This window comes from Homo sapiens, chromosome 6, assembly GCF_000001405.40.
Source record: "Homo sapiens chromosome 6, GRCh38.p14 Primary Assembly".
NCBI lineage: Eukaryota > Metazoa > Chordata > Mammalia > Primates > Hominidae > Homo > Homo sapiens.
In genome coordinates this window covers 22,345,543-22,362,233 of record NC_000006.12, presented here as the reverse complement: position 1 = coordinate 22,362,233, position 16,691 = coordinate 22,345,543, and the positions used below count along the sequence as shown (strand labels likewise).

Sequence of the window (16,691 nt, the reverse complement as noted above, 5' to 3'; positions counted from 1 at the left end):
CAAAGTGAAACCTCTAACTTCTGCCTTGCTTAAGAATTAAAATATTAAAATATTACCAACAACCTGCCAGTAACTGTGTGTTCTTCTCTAGTTCACCCCCTGCCTCCCTGATAAGGGTTGTCATGATCATATATTCCCACAGTGGATTGATAGCATTAATAGCCCTAATTATTGGCCTCCCAAATGTCCTTTGCTCTATACCATTATGGGGACCCCTCCCCCTGATTCCAGGCTTGATAGGGTGACTTGATTTTGCCAGTGGGCTGTAAGCAAATCAGATGCAAGTAGAGCTTTGGAAAGCACACGCATGTTCTTGTGTGCCCCCTGGCAGAATCAGCCTTATTTGTTCTTTCCCTCTGGGCCCTGACCTGAGAACTTGGCCAGGTTAGACAGCTGGATGGTGACAGATACGTGGAGCAGAGTTGTGTCACCCTAAATCATGGCCATCCTTAATCAGCCAACAGCCAAGCCATAAGCATGTGTCAGCCAAGATTAGCAGAACCACCCAGCCAGCCTGTAGCTTCACGGAAGCTACAGAGAGCCCAGCCAAGATCAGCCAAGCACTGGCAAGATCAGACAGACACAGCTGACTTGGAAGCCAGATCGATAATATAATACACGTTACTTTCTGTAAGCTCCTGAGTTTTGGGGTGGTGGTTTGCAGTATTATTTTAATAATAGATTATTTATACAATTCCCTTCCTCTTTAAAAAAAAATCACAATGTTTGCAGCCCTGAAAAAATATGTTGCTTTGTTTTGCCATTCCATCTCTCTTTTTTTAGTTTTAAAAAATTGTATCACAAGATATACTTTCTTTTGTGACTTGTTTTCTTCACTTACCATTATGTTTCTTTCATCTACCATTATTTTTCTTTCATCTATGTAGTTGCATGTAGTTATAGTAACTGGCTTTTATTATTACATAATCTTTTTGTGAATATAAATTATTTTCTCCAGTCTTCTGTTAATGGACATTTGGCTTTCCTATTGATAGGCATTTGTACTGTTTTCAGTTTGGGGTTATTATAATCAATAAACTCACAGATGTCTTCTAATGCACATTGGCAAGGTTCATTGAAATAAATATACCTATGAGTAGAACAGTAGGACTCTAGAGTATGATAATATTTTAATTTTGAAGCTGGTACCAAATTATTTTCCAAATTGGTAGTAAGAATTTGAATATACATCAGTATGTATCTTCTAAGGCCCCCATATGTATCTGCATCAAATCATCAGAAGCAGAGGCAGCACACAGGAGCCCTTGTGGGAGGGTTCAGTGGTTGAGTCTGGAAGACACATATCACATATCACCTCTGGTCACATGTCACTGGCTCAAACTCAACTACATGGCCACCTCACTGCAAGTGCAACAGGGAAACATAGTCCAAGAAGAGGAAATGAGCCGGCTACCTCATCAGTCTCTGACATAGCTTGTAATCCTTCAATATGAAAATACGAGTGTCTATTTGATAAGCACACCACAGTCTATAAAGCACATCCATGTAAAGTTTCCTATTTCACACTCTCACCAACTGTCTTGGGAAATTAGGTCACTTACCATTACACTCATTTTATAAATGAGGAAACTAGGGCTCAGAGTGGTTAAATGACTTGCCCAAGGTCACAAAGTTAGTAATTTGCTAGAGCCAGAGTATACTCTCAACACTTTTTCCCCAAAGTCTTGTCCTATTTCTAATATAATTAACCTTTTTCCAAATATTCATTCATCCACCAACTGAAATTAATTTTTGTATGAGTACTACATGACTATAGCACTACATTTCCTTCCCAAAACACAAAAATCAACAGAGCAAGGATCCCGCCCTTCGAGTCCCACAATTTTGAGTTTTCTATTTGCTGCCTCCCACTACCTGCCACTTCCACTTGCTCACTTCATGTTTACAGCTCAATCTACTCATGCTAAGTTCACCAATAACTTCCAGTTCAATGGATACAGTGGATATAGTTCAGTCCTCATCTGATTTCAGCACTGTCAAATCATTCCAGATTGTGACCCTTCTCTCTTTGTAATGCTTTTTTCTCTTAATTCTCATCATCCTACACATTCCTGATTTCCCACTCACCTCTCTGGTTAATTCCGTTAAATCATCTTTACTGTCTTATTCTCTTCTAACCAGTCTTTTTATATTGAGATCACCCTAATTCTGCCCAACAAAATTAGATCTTTTAGTAAAGACAACTGAAACATCATCTTGATAAATAAAATAAAATAAAAATATTTTCTATGCTTTACAAAGCCTTATCTTATCTCTTTTATAACACTGACCACATCCACCGTCTATAAGTTATCTGGCTCTCACAAGTCTTACCAACTTAACTAAATGCCTTTAAGGCTCAAACCTGGCACGTCTTCTCTTCTCACTCTATCTTCTCATTTTTGGCTATGGAGTAAGACAATGTTTTAACTTTGAAGCTAGTGCCGATTATTTTCCAAATTGGTAGTAATAATTTGTACATCCATCAATACATATCTTCCAAGGCCCCCATATACATCTGCATCAAACCATCAGAAGCAGAAGGAATACGTATGAGACCCTGTGGGACAGTTCAATGGCCTTTAAATATGCTATTTCCTCTCCCTGAGGGACCCTCTTGCTGCTTTTTACCTGGCTAATTCATACTCATCTTTCAGATCTCAGTAAAAATCACTTCCCAAGGAAGCCTTCCCTGATTCTGACGAGAGTTCAGGTCTCCGTCCCCATCTCATGTGCATGGATGACACCCTGCACTTCTCCCTCTCAACACTTGTCACAATTGTCGTGCAACATTTAACTGTGAAATTTGTTTCACTTCTCTTCATTCTACTGAAATTTTAGTTTCAAAATTATAAAATCCACGTGTATGCATACTCTGTACTGCTATATGTTCTTTGCATACAGAAGGACCTAATTGGATATTTATTCAGTGAGATCGTTTTATTAACGAAGAGAAAAAAGTCTCCATGAAATTTTGGATGCTATGTCATGCATGGAGTTACAATTGCCTAAAACCATTGGGTTTCTTTGTAACCTAAACTCTCATGCCTAATTATGTGGACCTAAGTACAGAACTATAAATGTATTTATTGCTTTTAAACACCATCCTATTAGATTGAGCCCACTCATTGGATTTAAATTATCTCCCACTTTCATATCATCTGATAAGGTGATAATCAAGTCACTGACAAAAGGGCTGATTAGGACAAAACTAGAGACAGGGCTCTGAAACCTGCCACTTGAAACTACTTTTAATTGTAGGATTACAATCTTTACCATGGAAGTTTTACTTCTTAGTTATATTGTCCTGATCATGGCTGCTGTTTTAAGAAGTCTAAAAACCAAATACCCTTACAATGCATATTAAAACCTAATTTCTCTTGTAAGGTCCAAAAAATGTCACTTTATTAATGAATTTTCACCTAATTTCTTTAGACAAAAATACTATCTGCCTTTTTCTCTATGCTTCTCAATTTTGTTCTTTCCATTTTTTTATGAAATAAAAACTGATTGTATTCTATCTTACATTATAGCTTATTGTTTGGGATCTCTTATTAGATTCCCATTACTTGAATTCAATTATTTCAGGGCAACAAGGGCTACACTTTTTGTATTGAAGTTACTATTTTTTTTAGTATCTCCACCATGCCAGGAGCTGTGCCAGGCATTTTATATCCACCATCTCATTTAATTCTTATTTGAGGTATATACCATAATCATTACCATTTCAGTGAAATAATTGTGTTACTTTACAAGAGGTGAAGAAATTGAATCTCAAAGAAGTTGTTTTTATTTATACATCTCACCTGGCTTTGGTCCTTGCTCATAGCATATATTAAATGAGTGATTGTCAAATTGAAACACAGAATTGACACCGATGGCCATTTATATGGAATTTTACTCTCCCAAGGATCATGCTCCCAAAATGATACTAATATCTTGGATTAGATGACTAGACTAAATCTGAACTGCTATTCCAGAAATGAAAGTTCCCTAATGCACTATTAATTTTCTCTGTCAAAGAGAGTATGCATTCTATATTGCTGCAGGCAAATAGGGACTTAACAGATGAGTTATTTGGAAAAACACTGTTTCAGGAAACAAAAGTATGCAAATTATGCCTCTTCTGTACACTTCAAGACACATTTTTAAAGAGGTAAACTTTTTCAAGGTGATGTGCTGACATTCTGAAATAATTTCTTCCCCTAGAGTATGCTGACCACAACACAGGCTTTTAAATAGAAGACCAAATAAGCTAAAATAGTGCTTCATAGCAGTAGTTATTATTCCTACCCAAGATTATTTTTTTCTAAAACTGATCTAGACAAATACATTGTGAGAAAGAGTAGATAATGAGAAATATAAGTGACTCAAATGGGGAAACTGCACAACAAATACATTTCTGCTTGAGAAAGCCACCAGATGCTCTGCTGGGGACTATGTTTTAAATAGAGACCTACACAAGTAAATCATTTCTAATCCAGTTTCCTTTCATAGGTGAGAAAGTTTAGGCCTAGAGAAGTGGAAATAACTGTTCCAAGTCAAAGAGCAGTTAAATTAGAATGCAGCCTGGAACTCAGCCTCTGGCCTGAGCTGCTCCAGCTGCCCCTCTAGTTGCTCCATCTCTGAGTCTCTGTCTCTTGTCTACTTCTTACAAGTTGATATCCACAATTCATGACTTACATATATGACTCCCTAGACATGGCAACCCAGACTTCTGGTGGCAACGTATGCCCTGTTGGCCTGTGCTGTTTATCTCTTGCATGACAATCTCATTTTCCTTGCCAAGATAAAGCCTCCTTCAGGTAGTGGTCCCATTTTACCATCTGTGCTTCCTATATCAGGTTGACCTAATAACTCTTCCCTCCAGGAAGCCCTGACTAGAAAGAATCTTTTAACAGATGCAACAAAACATAAGGAACTTTGGAATCAGAGATCCTGACTGTCAATCCTGCTTCTGTTTGTACTGTCTTCATACCTGTCACAATTTCTTAAGATTCCTGAGCCTCACTTTCTCCATTTTTAAAACAGGAGACATGATGACTACTGGGCATTGTTGTGATGGGGATTCAATGAGATAATGTATCAGTAGTGTTTATCCCATGGAAGATGATCAGCAATTCATAGAGGTTTGCCATTGTTGTCCTTAGGTTTAGGCTAGAAGTTTCCACTAGATTTTCTGAGTTGTCATTGTTCTGTGGATACTATTAGCAGAATATGTCCTTTCCAGAAGACTGGGAAACAATCTATTGGGAATATACTGGTGAGAGGTGACAGCGTGCTGCCAGCCCTCGCAGCTCTCGCTCACTCTCGGCACCACCTCGGCCTCGGCACCCACTCTGGCCGCACCTGAGGAGCCCTTCAGCCAACCGCTGCACTGTGGGAGCCCCTTTCTGGGCTGGCCGAGGCCGCCGGCTCCCTCAGCTTTCAGGGAGGTGTGGAGGGAGAGGCACGGGCGGAAACCAGGGCAGTGCACGGCGCTTGAGGGCCGGCGCGAGTTCCAGGTGGGTGTGGGCTCAGCAGGCAAGCACTCGGAGCAGCCGGTCGGTGGCCCCGCCAGCCCCTGGCAGTGAGGGGCTTAGCACCCAGGCCAGCAGTTGCGGAGGGTGCACCGGGTCCCCCAGCAGTGCCAGCCTGCCAGCACTGCACTCGAATTCTCACAGGGCCTCAGATGCCTCCCGGCGGGGCAGAGCTCAGGACCTGCAGCCCGCCATGCCTAAGCACACCACCCCCCACCACCCCCCACCCCTGCTCCTAGGTGGCCCAAGCCTCCCCCACCAGCCCCACCCCCTGCTCCACGCCCTGGTCCCATCAACCGCCCAAGGGCTGAGGAGTGTGGGCACACTGCATGGGACTGGGAGGCAGCTCCACCTGCGGCCCTGGTGCAGGATCCACTGGGTGAAGCCAACTGGGCTCCTGAGGCTAGTGGGAACTTGGAGAACCTTTATGTCTAGCTAAGGTATTGTAAATACACCAATCAGCACTCTGTATCTAGCTCAAGGTTTGTAAACACACCAATCAGCACCCTGTGTCTAGCTCAGGGTTTGTGGATGCACCAATTTGCACTCTGTATCTAGCTAATCTGGTAGGGACTTGGAGGATATGTCTAGCTAAGGTATTGTGAATACACCAATCAGCACTCTGTGTCTGGCTCAAGGTTTGTAAATGCACCAATCAGTGCTCTGTGTCTAGCTGATCCGGTGGGGACTTAGAGAACCTTTATGTCTAGCTAAGGGATTGTGAATATACCAATCAGCACTCTGTATCTAGCTCAAGGTTTGTAAATGCACCAATCAGCACTCTGTGTCTAGCTCAGGGTTCATAAATACACCAATCAGCACTCTGTATCTAGCTAATCTAGTGGGGACTTGGAGAACTTTTGTGTCTAGCTCAGGGATTGTAAACACACCAATCAGCACCCTGTCAAAACAGACCAATCAGCTCTCTGTAAAACAGACCAATCAGCTCTCTGTAAAATGGACCAATAAGCAGGATGTGGATGGGGCCAAATAAGGGAATAAAAAGCAGGCTGCCGGAGCCAGCAGTGGCAATCCGCTCGGGTCCCCTTCCACAGTGTGGAAGCTTTGTTGTTTTGCTCTTTGCAATAAATCTTGCTGCTTCTCACTCTTTGGGTCCACACTGCCTTTATGAGCTGTAACACTCACTGTGAAGGTCTGCAGCTTTACTCCTGAAGCCAGTGAGACCACGAACCCACCAGGAGGAACGAACAACTCCAGATGCGCTGCCTTAAGAGCTGTAACACTCACTGTGAAGCTCTGCAGCTTCAATCCTGAGCCAGCAAGACCACGAACCCACCAGAAGGAAGAAACTGCGAACATATCCGAACATCAGAAGGAACAAACTCCAGACACGCCACCTTTAAGAACTGTTAACACTCACCGCGAGGGTTCGCGGCTTCATTCTTGAAGTCAGTGAGACCAAGAACCCACCAATTCCAGACACACTGGGACCAATATATTCCTGGCAAATTATCTTTGCACAAGCAAAATGATACAAATAGAAGACTTTGAGAAAAATGGAAAAGCATTCTATACATTGTCCCCACAAAGCCATTCTGTTTTTATTGTTTCCTTTATTCCAGTAGGCTAGGTCAAGCTCATATTCAATGATAAGCTTGAGATAATGCTCAAGTACCTCAACCCCTGTTTTGGAGTTCTCCAGAGAAACAGGACCAATAGAGTGTACAGAGAGGGACAGAGCAGGGAGAGAGATTTATTTTAAGAAATTGGCTCACGTGATTATAGGGTGTGGCAAGTATGAAATTTGTAGAACAGGCCATCTGACTGGAAATTCAGGAAAAAGTTGATGTTTTAGTCTTTAGTCAAAATCTGAAAGCTAGAAATTCAGGCAGGTTTATATGTCATACTCTTGAGGCCGAGTTGCATTTACTTTGGGAAACCTCAGTATTTGCTCTTAAGGCCTTCAATTAACTGAATGAGATCCACCCACATTACTTAAAGTCTTCTGATTTATTAATTTTTTTTCTTTTATTTTGAGACAGGGTCTCACCTTGTGGCCCAGACTAGAGTGCAGTAGTGCAATCATGGCACACTGCAGCCTTGACCTCCTGGGCTCAGGTGATTTTCCCACCTCAGCCTCCTGGGTAGTTGGGACTACACGTGCACGCCACCACAACAAGTGAATATTTTGCTTTTTTTTTTTTTTTTTTTTTTTTTGCAGAGACGGGGTTTTGCCATGTTGCCCAGGCTGGTGCCAAACTCCTGGGTTCAAGTAATTCACCTTCCTTGGCTTCACAAAGTGCTGAAATAATAGGCATGAGCCACCATGCCCGGCCTAAAGTCTACTGATTTAAAAGTTAAGCAAATCTTAAGAAAAATACTTTCACTACAACATCTAGACTGGTGTTTGACAACTACACACCACTGACTAGCCAAGTGCAAGTGGATGCGTAAGTTAACCATCACAACTCCCAACTTACAGTGCCTACTAAATGCAAGCAGGTGGAGTAAAGTGAGTGTCTAAAGACATAAAAAGCATGTCCAAGATTTTAGAAAGGAACTTTGAAGCTAAGTGGAATACACTACCATCCACGCATCACTCAATTTGGAATGGGATATCTATGCTTCCTGCACCACCTTCACTAGTATGGAAGGGATAGAGAAAGTGACAAACTTTTTCCCACTTAATCATGCCAGTGTGGACACTGACTTGTCAAGGGTAACTCAGTTCTTCATCCTTGTTGAGTGCCCTGTGGGGATGACTGGAAGCCAAGGTACTCTGCCAGCTGCATGAGGAACATTTACCACTGAGCATTTCCAGGTTCTTCCTTGATTGTCAGTCAGGAGAAGCAATTCTCCTCCATGTGTGCTATTACTAGGAAAGATAGAGTTAATTGTTGAGTTCCTGGACAAATTATCACAAAACTCAAGTTGGCCAACGGAAAAACATCAACCCCTATGGATGCAAGGAAAAAGATGTTTTGTTGATGCAAAGTTTAGAAAGAACAGTCCACAAAACTGCACTCACTTCTGACAATCAAATGCAAATTCAGGGGCCTCCACAATGACTCTTGGATTTGATAATTAGCTAGAACGATTCATGGAACTCTCTGAAGGCTGTTATGCTCATGGTTGCAGCTTATTACAGCTAAAGAATACAGATTAAAATCAGCCAAGGGAAAAGGCATATAGGACACAGTCCTGGAAATCACAAAACATGGAGCTTCTAGTTGCCCTCTCCCCATGGAATTATGAATAGTGTTACTTTCCCAGCATCAACGCGTGACAATATGCACAGAGCATTTCCAAACAAGGGAGTTCATCCAAGCCTTGGTGTCCAGAGATTTTATTGAGACTCTCTTACACAGGCATGACTGACTGCCCACATGGCTGATTTCAGTCTCCAGCCCTTCCAGAAGTCCAGCAGATATTGCATAACCAAAACCCCTATTCTAAATCACATTGTTATTATCCAGTTGGCCCAAAGCCTGCATGTGACAGAGATACATTTATCAGATAGGATATCCCAAGGATTTAGAGATTACCTCCCATGAGACAAGGGCAAAAGCCAGACTTTCTTTGGGCAAGATTAAATAGTCTTTACAACTCAGCTGGACAGTTGGTTTTGCCTGAGGATGTTCTCCTGTTGTAACTTTATGATAAGGAAATCTATAGCATGGTTATATATGAGATGAGCATTTGTTAAGCAAGCATTTGTTTTGTTCTGGTTCTTCTCTGAAATGCATTTCCAGCATTGTCTCTATTAATCCTCATTGCAGCACTATGAGGTAGGCATTATTTTTAATGGCATTTTATGGATGAGGAACTGAGGCTTGCCTATGGTTACAGAGCTAGTGAGTAATGAAGATGGATTATATACAAGGGCTATATGAGTCCAGAGTCCATGTTCATAGGCACACAGCCTCTTCCATTTGAAATAGATGTCCACAGGCATATGCATAGCCAAAGAAGGCAAGATTGTTGAGTGAAAATTGTCTAGTCCTGCTGTCCTGTTCCATGGTACACGTGACCTCAGAATGTTGCAACATACAACTCTTCTCACTTAAAAATAAATATAAGGCAGAACAACATGAAGACTTACCATGAGCTCATGGTGTCTTGATCAAAGAAGGCTTAGTGACAACAATATTTCAAATGATCTTTTTGTCTGGCATCCTCGAAGTCTGTATACCCTGGGGCACCAAACAATAATAAGGTTCTGAATTAGTGAAAGACATGCCTTTCTTTATAAACAAGATAAGGGCAATTCTGAAAGGGGAGGTAAGAAAGCAGACCTGCTTGGGTCTTCAAACACAAACGTCTTCTCAGAAAGAAAAAGTTACAACAGAAAACACATAGAATGTTCAGAGTCTGAAAATTGTTCCCTTAAAGCTCTCCATGCGAGCATGTTCCCTGGGAATCTTCATGTACCCCAGGATACTTAGTTTGGTAACAACTAGTCTGACTGATCCAATTTCTTAAACCAACTTCTTAAATTTTAGAAAAGCTGCCATGAACCAATGGACCGATAATAATTAATAAATAAACTGGGATAGGAGTCCTGAAAATAGAATGGAAGATATGGAGAATTTAATCTGAAGTCCAAGTGAAGGAGAGAGAGAGAGTGGAATTTTAATTTTTATAATGAATGATGACTGGTAAGATGTGGACCTAGTGGTGCTGTGAGAAACAGGCCCCCCACCAACCTTGGGCAGGGAAAGTGATGTGGTCTAACTTCAGGTAGCACCATGGAGGAGTGGCTCAGCACACAACCCTTCTGAGAATGGCAGGGCAAGATCCCCACTGCTGCTAGTGGTATCCAAAACATGATGTTGGTAATGGTAAGAGAAAATGACAAGGCTACAAAATAGACTCCAGTCAGTGAGCAGCATCAGCCAGTCCTAATCACCAAAAGGTGTACTTTTTTTGTTTGTTTGTTTGTTTGTTTTTGTCACCCAGGCTGGAGTGCAGTGGCACGATCTCAGCTCACTGCAACCTCCGCCTCCCGATTCAAGCGATTCTCCTGCCTCAGCCTCCCGAGTAGCTGGAATCACAGGATGCCATCTTGCCCGGCTAGTTTTTGTATTTTCAGTAGAGATAGGGTTTCGCCATTTTGGCCAGGCTGGTCTCGAACCCCTGACCTCAAGTGATCCACCCGCCTCAGCCTCCCAAAATGCAAGGATTACAGGCTTGAGCCACCGTGTCCAGTCCCAAAAGGTGATCTTAATGGGAAAATGTTTGTGAGTTCCCTTTCTTCTGCCTACGTCTGAGAAAGAAATTCTCGAAAGAAGTAACGAGATCTCAAGCTCCTTTCAGAAAGTCAATTGGTGAGCATGAGCCATGGAATTACCATTTGGATCTAGTCACTTTTATGACCATATTGTCCTCCCCCTCCTCAGATGGGTGACCATGGAAACATCAGTTACAATTGTGATTTTATGGAAATATTAAAAATGGGTGTTTTCCCATTTTACTACCTTTACATTTTGTAAATGGGTAATTTGAAGTTTAACATGTAAAACTACCTGACACAGATAATTTTACCATTTGAAAATAAAAAATATTTTTAAAAACTTAACCAAAACATTGTCAGTGCTTCATCGTCCCTACAACTCTAAAATTACCCCAATATTTTATTCTGAGTGGAGCTAAAAAAGTCATCAAAGTCACATCATTGTAACAAGTTGAAAAGTGAAAACTTTAACCAGTTACATCATCCCTATAAAAACAAACAAAAATATTGTGGGTTGGAGGTGCATTTCCTTTTTTTGGTGTTTGTTTATCCTACTGGATAGAAGTCACTTGGCTATTTGGTTTTGCATAGCTGTTGTCTGTGCCACTTAATATAGGGTAGTGCCTCAAATTTGGGGGCTTGTATGGTCCAGAGGAAGCAGGTACACTCTCTCCTGGCACTGTTGTATGAGATATTAATAACGTTTTAAACTTTTAGTTTAGAAGAGAAAACGTTCTCCCCATTTCCAGAATGGGAAGCTCTCATATCACAAGGAACAGCAGTACCAGCAGGTACAGCTCAGATAAGGTGGAAAATAAAACCAAAAAGAAAGTGGATTCCCAGCATTTTCTTCAAAGGGAGGGGTGTGTGTTCAGCTTCCTTTTTATTGGCACTTACAATTACCCCTGGACCAAAGCATGTCTATATATTCACAGATGGAGGGGTAAGTCTGGGTAGGGTGAGAGCCTAGGCTTTGAGGTAATGGATAAAGGCATTTGGGGAAGAGGAGGATGAGAGACTGTTTCAGCTTTTAGATGAAATGAAAAAAATCTGCCTTTGTTTCCAACTCCCTGGCCTCCTTTTGCCATGACCTGACATAAATAGAAGATTGAACTTGAAAAATAAATAAATAAATATAAGAAAGCAAGATGGTTTTGTTTTCTGCAAATGCCTTGAACAAAGCACGTGTTTCTGTTTAATACTGGATAAGCTCCAACTGATGTCTAGATCCTTGTCAAAATATTTACTTTACTGTGAGATATATTTTTTTTAAGTGGGGTATTATGAAGCCATGCTACAGCTCTGGACTTTAAAGTGACTGCCAGCCTCCTCTGAAAAGCCATTGTTTTACCCTCTTCCCCAGACCCCTGCAAATTAAATCTTAATTTAAAAACATTATTTTGTTCCTGAAAGTGATCAATCTCAGTACAAAACCAGTAGAAAACTTGATGAAGAATTGAAGGAAATTCACCAAGGCAACTACTAAGATGACAAACACTGAAAAATGATTTTTTTTTCCCATTGGGATATTTAGTACAACATCCTGATATCATGTAAACAGCAAAAACAAAAAATAACCTGTTGTATTTTAAAGCAATTCTGAACTACTGATTTGAGATCACAAAACCACTATAGAAGGAAGCTCAAAAATAAAAAATGTTACTTTATATTTCCTTGGTCATTTTATTAAACTCTATAGACCTGAATAAGGTAAAATACATATGCCATGAATTATAAATATGTCAACATAATAAATGAACCTGAACTGTTTTATCTTACATCTTTCCTAGAAAATTTAACCACATAAAAGTCACATACTATGATGCAAGAGACTACAGGACAAATATAGAAGCAGAAAAATGTGTCTGGAGATAACATCTATTTTAACTAAAAGATAAAAGAATTTTGTAAAAATAAACTAAAATTAAAGCCTTTGATACTCACTATAAAAAGGATTTGATTTCTCCCTTTTCCATTTTTATAATCCTGTAGATTATTTCTGTCCACCTTCTGGGTAAAATACTCACCCATTTTCCAATGGAGTTCTGGGTCCTGTTTCTTCCGCTAGCATCTTCTGACTTTAGGTTCGTCAGCTCGTTTGCTGCTCAACAAGTCACCTGAAATGTAGTGACTCAGAACAGCAATCGTGATTCTGCGGTGGTATGGCGGGTTCTAGCCACTTTGCTGGCTTCCTGGGGTGGATGGTCTCAGATGATCTCATCCATATTCTGAGGCCTCGGCTAGGCTTCCACAAGGCCAGCCCAGGCTCGTTCGCTTGTGGCGGAATGATTCCTGTCAGAAAGAAATGGCATGCGCAATGCGCAAGCACTCGTCAGGCCTGTGTTTGCACCTCATTTGCTATTATCCCATTGGCCAGAAACAATCATACGACTAAGCTCAACAGTGGTGGGGGTGCAGGGAAAGACTGACTACTTAAAAGGAATAGATATAGACAGTGGGAAGTGAAAACAATGTGGGGGATATTATCCTAATGATCCACCGCTGGAGGCTAGTCAATTAACCCAAGACTCCATCTCTTTTTTTTTTTTTTTTTTTTTTTTTGAGATAGAGTTTCGTTCTTGTTGCCCAGGCTGGAGTGCAATGGCGTGATCTCGGCTTACTGCAATCTCTGCCCCCCTGGTTCAAGAGATGCTCCTGTCTCAACCTCTGGAGTAGCTGGGATTACAGGCACCCGCCACCATACCTGGCTAATTTTTGTACTTTTAGTAGAGATGGGGTTTCACCATGTTGGCCAGGCTGGTCTCGAACTACAGACCTCAGGTGATCCACCCACCTTGGCCTCACAAAGTTCTGGGATTACAGGCGTGAGCCACCGTGCCCAGCCAAGACTCAATTTCTTAATCTCTAAATTTGAAATAATAATTCATTTCTATTGCTAAAAAAATTGTTTGGACAATTAAATAAGAAAATACAAATAGAAACATTTGAAAAATGTAGAGAACTCTATAATTGTACAAAGTTATTATTAGGACAGAAAACTAACCACGTTATTCTATACGGCATTTTTTTTCTCTAGGCATGGTTTTAAGTTTTTACATAATATCTACCAACCAATTGGAAACAAATGGACCTCAACAATTTAACATTTTTATGTATTTTAAAGGCCAAATCATACTTGTTTTACCTGAATATTTAGTGTTTCAGCCAGTCATTTGAGTCATATTCGTCGACTTAGCAGAAAAACCTGATATTGTCTAATTTAACCTTTATAGAACCAAGACTTTATCTACACAGTGTTACGATATCTGGGCGATTTAACAAAACTGTTTTTTCTGAGGCAGCCGGATGTTTCATCTAACACTGAAGATTATGAATCTCTACTGACCAACTGAACGGTGTTTTATTTTATTTTTATGAGATGGTGCAACTGCCTGCCTTATAATATCCTTGCTAATTCTAGAATATGCACTGAGATTAAGATGTCTTTTGCTGAGAAAAGTGACTTTTTCCTGCCACACCCAATGTATCTCCTCTACATTAAATTTTCTCTAGCAAAATAAATGAGTTCTACTTACAAGAAACCAAGGAGAATAAAGATTTAAAACAACATTTTGAGTTACAGTTGCCATGGGAACATTTTTTCTTTCTTTCTATTTTAATCTTTGGGGCATGTGAAATGAGAGCTTACTGGTGTAGTATAGTGGTATTCTATTATCATAGTTACCTGAAATTAACAAGAGAGGAGCCTGAAAAATCAATGTTTGATTAGTTGCAACAAGAGTTTAGAACTCACAATCATGTTCATAATTTGGTTCCAAAGTTCAAGATAGCAATAAGGATTTTGGCTTGGTTTTCATATTTTGGGTTATAAAAACACTTTTAAAAATTGTACTTATCAAAATGCAGCCAAATTTTAATTTTTTATTATCCACAATCCTCAGAAAATAGAAGTTCTATAGCAAAATGTGTACCCTGGGCTTTAATATTCTGCATGTCTGTAAAACATACATGTATATTAGAGGTATACATCTCCAGTGACTATTCATTAAGGGGCAAATAGTTATCACCTTATCACCAACAGTTTATCCAGTGCATAGAATTCATTTATCCCTCAATTTTCTAATCCTTCTTATTCTCCTTTCTTCTTTTTCTCCATTTCCTTCTTTACATACTTCTTTTTTATCTTTTCTTTCCATTTGATTTCCCAATTGTAACACTGGCAGTCACAGGATTTCTTAGCAAATTTGGTAGAATTATTGCAAATTTGTGTTATGTTCTATGATGAATACTTTCAGATAGAAATTAGAATTACTAGAAGAAACGTTGAAAATGGTGGAAAAAAATAAAAGAAAAAATCTTGCATTTATCTGAAGGTAATATAGCTCTTTATTTGCAACTTTCTACCTTGGCTGAAAGTTTTAGCTATGTATTTGCTAGGCCTCACTCATGGATATGATGCTTAATATTTAAGAAATATAAGCACCCTTATGTTAGATATTTGTAAAATAACTTTAGTACATATGAATTATAATAAAGGGTAGTTACAGCACAAGTAAAAGTATTAATATCATCACAACTCTTTAATTTGTTGATGTTAACAGCATCTAATAGACTGTGTTTAAATTGTTTGAATCACTATAAAATTTAAAGTTCTGGCAACAATCAAATTTGAAGGGGAAAAAAAGATTTACTTATGTCCAACATAACTTTTGGCTTAAGTATAGTTCTTGGCGTTCTAATTCTTTGAAAATGAACAATATTATCATTAATCAATAATTCATTCACAGCTATGTCATAAACTGAGGAGTATAATTTTTCTGGTTTAACTTTTTGATCTCACACAGTAAAATTAGATTACACCAATTATGTCATCAAAGGCAATGGTCATTATATTTTTAAAAAACCTAATCATAGTCTGCCCCTAATCCAAATGCTCAGCTCCATCCTCCATATCCAGCCACTTCTAAGCAACCCATTTATGAGCCACAAGGAACTTGGGCTCCATTGTCAGACCTGCCGTGGTGTCCCTGCTCTGGGCATGACTGTAGAAAACCCTACTCTGGCCATCTTCCCTGGGACCAAGGAGACATTCCCCCACAGAGCCCAGGCCTTCACCTTTCTAGACCCAGAACTCTGAAACCCCGAAGCCCTGGAATTCCCTTCCTCAAGTATCCTAAGCCCTCTTCAAGGGCAGAGTGCCTATCCCTGGAGCAGATGGACGGTGAGGTGTTCATCCCCAGGCTTGTTGTGCCCACTCTTCTGCCCAGAGGCCACTCTAAATAGAGACAAAGCTGTAAGGAGAAAGAGGAAGGTGCTGGACATAGTCAGGGCCTCCATGAGTGCTTTTGCTCAGCCTCCACATAGATGATGGAATGCACCTGTGTATCATTTTCCCAAACCCACAGTGCTCTTCTGAGTTTAAATGTCTTTGCACCTGCTTTTCTCCAAGCCTGAAATTCCATTCCCCCTCACTCCTGGTGATGTCCTCCAGATCCAATTCCACTTCCTTTTCAAAAATCCCCATGACTTCTCTAGACAGATTAGCTGTTCTCTCCTTTGGTTTACTAGCATGTTTTACCATCATTTACTATAGAACTTAACATACCTGACTATAATTATTTATTTACATATTTGCCTCCTCATGAGAAATTTGAGGCCAGCAAGACTTAACTTCAATGAGTGACCCTTTATTAATATTTAATAAATGTGTATTGAATTAAATGCACTAAATGCATAATTTATTTATAAATTGGTTATCAAGCTCATTTGTCATGCTAAAATTCTTTAGGCTAGGTCTTAGGTTAATATCATGTTTTTATTAATGTAAAGGAATAGAATCGTAAATTTAAAATCAGTTTAAAATATTTTCCAAACGTGACTGATTCCAAAAATTCCATCTAAAAAGACAGATATTTGACATATAACATAATCCTTGATAAAAACCAATAGTTATATGTTGTATGGCTTTAAATGAAGAGGGATGTCCACAACTAAAAACATGACCAAGAAAATATGTC

The 16,691-nt window shown here is 39.9% G+C and overlaps 1 long non-coding RNA gene across 2 annotated transcripts in view; it reads right to left on the bottom strand.

Annotated features, from left to right (window-relative positions):
- The window catches only part of LOC105374971 (uncharacterized), a 241,097-nt gene extending 228,081 nt beyond the window's left edge, over positions 1-13,016 (bottom strand). For both annotated transcript variants that reach the window (XR_001744024.2, XR_001744023.2), the window contains exons 1-2: positions 12,741-13,016; positions 9,583-9,673 (exon numbers count right to left, since the gene is read on the bottom strand). This is a non-coding gene — a long non-coding RNA (uncharacterized LOC105374971). The remainder of the gene's footprint in view (positions 1-9,582; positions 9,674-12,740) is intronic.
- Between the last annotated feature and the right edge of the window lie 3,675 nt (positions 13,017-16,691).